Raw genomic sequence first — 5243 nt, forward strand, 5'->3', positions numbered from 1 at the left:
AAAAAAAAACTCCTCACAAAGAACAAAACCTCTAGGACCTGATAGCTTTCAGTCACAATATAGTCAGGCACTCAAAAAAAAACTTTAACACAATAAAATTCTCTTTGAATGCCACCTTAAACTCAATCCCATCCAGAGAAAACAACTTTTATTAGAATGACATGTGATTTGCATTTTTAGTTCATGCATTTACTTATATACACATAAATATAGCTTTTTCACATAAATTAGAATCATTGCTATGCATGTTGTTCTAAAATGTTGCTTTTTCACTCAAAAAATGTTTAGTAAGATAAAATCTGCTGCACTCTTTTTAACAGAAGCACAGAATTAAATCATATGGATGCACTTCGTTTTATGCTACTCTACAGAGTGACAAGACTTCTTTGTGCATTTATCTTTGAGCACTTATTTATTTCTTTGTAAAAGGCTTTCTAAATTTCCAGATCATCAACAAAGCATTAATTTGGTCAGTTAAAAAACAATTGCTTATATCCTTCTCTGAAAAGAATGATGTACAGAAAAGAATTATATATATATATGAATAATACATCATAAGTGTTCAGAAAGACATTGTATTTTAGGTGGAGAGACAGGCAGGTGACCAGACTGCTACATGCAGTAAGATGAACCCTGATAGAACTAACACTGGAGGCTGTGAAAAAACTGCTAGGAGCACCCAGCCTTGGTAGAGCAGCATAATTTCTTCCTGTAATTCTTTCTCTCCAAATTGCCATACACTTCAGCAGAGTTTGCAACTTCTCTTCTAAGTCTTTATCCTTCCCCCAAGGCATGCCTAGCACAGGACTCTTGAACAGTGATGCCTCAATTAGAGTTGCTAGCCAATAGATTGAAGCTATGTTGGCACAATATCCTACATCCTCCCGATCTACTGGCTGAGCCCAACCCCACCTAAGAAGGACAATAAAGATCTGTGTTCAGAGTCATACTGAATAGAGACTTCTGGACTCTATAGAACCCACTGCCTCCTGATGAAGTCCCTACTGTTCACCCTTGCAGTTTTTATGCTCCTGGCCCAATTGGTCTCAGGTAAACAGAATCTTGGGGAAGAAGAAACACTGGCCTGGAACAGGGTCCTGCACATGGAGTCCCTGTTTCTAAGTGGTCTGTGGAAATGGGGTCTGGCTTCTCACTGGGAGCAGGGCTGAGATTTGTCCTACTTCTTCAGACCACCTCTGTTCTAAGAAACTTGAAGGCTCTCAGGATAGAGCAGGATCTGTGATCGGAGCTGGGGAGGAGGGTAAGGCAAATCCCATACAGTTGCCTCCAAAGGTAGAAATGATCTTGAAATCCCAAACTTCTATCCTGTCACTTCGGGTCAGTCCAGTCAAGCCCTGCCTCATTTCACTTTTGTTTTTTTTGCTGCCGATATTCCCTCCTGAGGTAACAATTATATAATATTACTTCCCCCAGTTTTCTTGGTCTTACAGAGAGGTCTCTGATTTTTTGTTTGTTTGTTTGTTCTTGGATGTGGTTAACAGAACAGGAAAGGCTGTTTCTATATATGTATAGGACTGTAAAATGGAAAATGAAAAAAAAAATTCTGTGTGGGAACTATTGGAAGTCTATATCAGATTTCAGCTCTGTTTGTGTAAGCATTTCTTATTTTTAATTTATTCTGTAGCTTATATTTACAAAACCAAGACAAGAACACTGAAAGTTATTTAGAAATAAATTGGCCACATTTCATCACTGCTTGCATTTTTTCACTTGTAACCAACTGATATATGAGCTTATAACCTGCTTTATTTTTTTACCTACGATTCTATCAGGAAAATTTTCACAGGTCTTGAATATTCCTTGAAAATACAATTTGCAGTAGATGCTTATAATTCTGTCATATTTTTGTACCAATATTAACTTGGAAAGTCCTTAATTGTGTGTCATTTGGATTATTTTTTCTAATGTGTGAGTACTGTAAATAACATTGTACAACCTTATTAATATATCATTGTGAGATTCTCTGTTTGTATAGGTAAATTTTAGAAGTTCCATTGCTTGGTACAAGGGTATTATTTCTTCTAAGTTAACTGGCACATATTGCCAATGGTTACTATTGGAGTATTTGTATTTTTAACATTTGTATTTCATATTTCTTGCAAATATTTTCAAACATATTGGTTGCTTCTAAAATGCATTATTTATTTGAGACACATAATTTTCATTTTCATGTCAAATCTATTGGTGTTTTCTTTGCATTCTTCCACTAACTTAGTAAGTCCTTCTCCGTGTTGAGAACAGTTATTCACCTATGATTTTGTTTTTTACACCGGACTCAATCCCACCTTTTTACATAAGGCACAATGAAATAAACTAATATTCTTTAGTATAATTTCCTAATGGGTTATATAATAACTCCATAGCCCGCCTCTAGAGATAGTAGTTTATATTCCCTAATTTGCAGAAATGTTCAAATTGATAGTGGATAAGAGGAAATTATAATGCTCTCATGGTTGTCTCAAAAGATGTTTCAGGCCTATTGCATCCTTGAAATTCTATGAGTTTAAATTGCCTGATTTCTCCCTCTGTCTCTGGAACATTAGTGACATACATCGACATACATCACATACTTGTATGTTGTCCTTTTTCTACACTTTGTGTGTGTGTATATATATTCTAACATATACATATATATAATGTTAAAAACTCAATCATCAGAGGAGGATTAAACAGCTGATAAGGGATAATAGTAGTGGTAATAGCATTCAAAAACGTTTGCTCTGTTCACTTACTGTCAATTACCTCATATTTCTTTCATTTATTGTACTTATCACAATCTGTAGTTATTTTGTTTATTCATTTACTTGTTTATTTTCTTTCTCCCCCTCTCCAATGTAAGGTCCTCAAATCATGTCTTTCTGTTCATTGTTTTATTCCCTGCATCTTGCAGAATTCTTGACATGGTAGGCACTCATCATATACTTGTTGATTAAGTACAGTAATGAGTTAAGCAAGGTAAGAAAGAGCTCCAGCGTCACTCTAGGGCCTCTATGTGTTAAACCATGTGATGAGATATTTTCATATGTATATAATATGTACACATATATAGGCAAACCCTGCAGAATGTCTCCCTAATGAATATATTCCTAATGGAATGGCTTTTTTTATTCTCAAAATTTTGTAAAATGTACTTATATCTCAATATCATATAGGTATATAGGTATAGATGAAAATTTTTTATTTATCTTTCCATAACTTGACATGACATTTTTAACCAGATAATATGTAAGATAAGCCTAGAGTTATCTTCTAAATATAATTTTTAGGATCTCAGAAACATGTAAGGGACATTTTGAAAATCTCACCAATTGGCAACAAAAGCCATATGTGTTTCAGTAATGGTGAGAAAGATGACAGCAATTATTTTAGCATTTCTTATTTTTGAAATGATAGTTTTTACTTCTGTTTAGGTGTTTGTGTTTTAGCTACATTTTAGGAAATTGCTTGGGGATTTTGTGTTCATGTATAACAACATGCTATATATTTTCCCATTTAAAATCATGGGGAATTGGCCCCTGGTAAGTGTTTGTATACAGAATTCTGATTTCAGAAATGAGAATCTCATACATATCTAAAGAATTCTATGTGTGTTTATAAAATTTCACTTAATCCTCAAAGTAGGTATTTATGATTAGGAAAAACATGCTAAAGCAACTGGAAAGGCACTTGAATAAACAGTGCTCAAAAACTATTGCTATTTTTTATCCTCCTGTGATAAATACTTAGGCTTAATAATCTATATAATTCCTTTATTCAGGTAATTGGTATGTGAAAAAGTGTCTAAACGACGTTGGAATTTGCAAGAAGAAGTGCAAACCTGAAGAGATGCATGTAAAGAATGGTTGGGCAATGTGCGGCAAACAAAGGGACTGCTGTGTTCCAGCTGACAGACGTGCTAATTATCCTGTTTTCTGTGTCCAGACAAAGACTACAAGAATTTCAACAGTAACAGCAACAACAGCAACAACAACTTTGATGATGACTACTGCTTCGATGTCTTCGATGGCTCCTACCCCCGTTTCTCCCACTGGTTGAACATTCCAGCCTCTGTCTCCTGCTCTAGGATCCCCGACTCATTAAAGCAAAGAGGCTTATTCTGGTGTCAGTTTTCTCTCTACAGCCCCCTTCCCACTTTCCCTCCATTCAACAGTGTCTGGAAGGGCACCACAATTTCACTGCACTCGCATTTCTATGGTAGAAATGCAAATAAGATAGGGGCCAGGAACAAGGGAGGGTTAGTCCAAAACACCCACTCAGGAATGATAGATAGTAGCAATGTCCTCCTTGAAGACAGTTCTAGGCCCACAGCTTGCCATAGCAATTATCATCAAACTTCATGTACATCAGAAACACCTGGAGAGATGGCTAAAGCACAGATTTCTAGGGCTCACTTTTAGTTTCCAATTCTGCAGGGGAGCTTGAGAATTTGCACTGCTCACAAGTTCCCAGGTGATGCTAGGGCTGCTGGTCCAGGCACCACACTGTGAGAACAATTAGCTTATAATATGAAAGGATTGAAAGCCGACTGTGAATGTGATTTTCTACAGATTGAAGGCTGCATTTCCTATGTAGTTTTGGAGTAGATAGTAATACAAAATCATCCTACAGAATCCTCCGACAACAACCTGAGAATGTAGGTATTATAACCTCACTTTAGAGAATAGGAAACTTGATTTCTAAGCATTAGAAGACTGGGACAGACTAAATTGACTACTGAGAACATTCTGTCACTGCACCATGAGGTTGCCCAATTTTCTTCTCACCCTGGAAATCCTCATTCATAGCTTCCAACTTAAATATGATGAAAGGGAGATCAAGAGCTCTATAATGTGTCCTGAATGTTAGGACAGGCACTCATCCCAAGCAATAGAATGTTTTCCGTACATTACATTACATTGATGCTCTGCCTGCACCAATAAGAGAATATGACTGGGTGTATCATAGTCATCCATCCATGCCTCAGGCCCACTTCCCTGATAGTTGGACAGGGAGAATAGGGAATGCAGATGCCTTCGCTTTCTGGACACTTACAGTAGCTGTGTTTGTCTTTGTCATCTCAGTTTGCTCACTTATGAAATGCTAGCGTTTTACTCAGTATCTTTCTCCCCACCCCTGTCATAGTACATCTTTCTGATTCTGAAGATATAAGATTGGCTTATGTTTTGTGGGGTCAACTTCACCTTTGACCCCATAAGATCCTAGAGATTTAATGTAGATATATA

The 5243-nt window shown here is 36.5% G+C and overlaps 1 protein-coding gene across 1 annotated transcript, besides 1 other annotated feature; it reads left to right on the forward strand.

Annotated features, from left to right (window-relative positions):
* The first annotated feature begins 953 nt into the window (after positions 1–953).
* On the forward strand, positions 954–4115 carry DEFB126 (defensin beta 126). Its single transcript, NM_030931.4, has 2 exons — positions 954–1050; positions 3779–4115. Exons 1-2 carry the CDS (start codon positions 993–995, stop codon positions 4054–4056), a joined length of 336 nt encoding a protein of 111 aa, NP_112193.1. The 5' UTR covers positions 954–992; the 3' UTR covers positions 4057–4115.
* Positions 4261–4762: an enhancer, noted in NCBI's record as "NANOG hESC enhancer chr20:126538-127039 (GRCh37/hg19 assembly coordinates)". NCBI's record gives its function as "activates a minimal SCP1, AML or CMV promoter by ChIP-STARR-seq in naive H9 embryonic stem cells {active_cell/tissue: H9 hESC(naive)}" and the evidence as "EXISTENCE:reporter gene assay evidence [ECO:0000049][PMID:30033119]".

This window comes from Homo sapiens, chromosome 20, assembly GCF_000001405.40.
Source record: "Homo sapiens chromosome 20, GRCh38.p14 Primary Assembly".
Taxonomy (NCBI): domain Eukaryota; kingdom Metazoa; phylum Chordata; class Mammalia; order Primates; family Hominidae; genus Homo; species Homo sapiens.

Bases quoted from the DNA above. Each gene is read 5' to 3' on its own strand.
- DEFB126 (NM_030931.4), top strand. From the start codon at position 993: ATGAAGTCCCTACTGTTCACCCTTGCAGTTTTTATGCTCCTGGCCCAA. The intron at 1,051-3,778 runs GTAAACAGAATC...TCCTTTATTCAG, and splicing joins CCTGGCCCAATTGGTCTCAG to GTAATTGGTATGTGAAAAAG.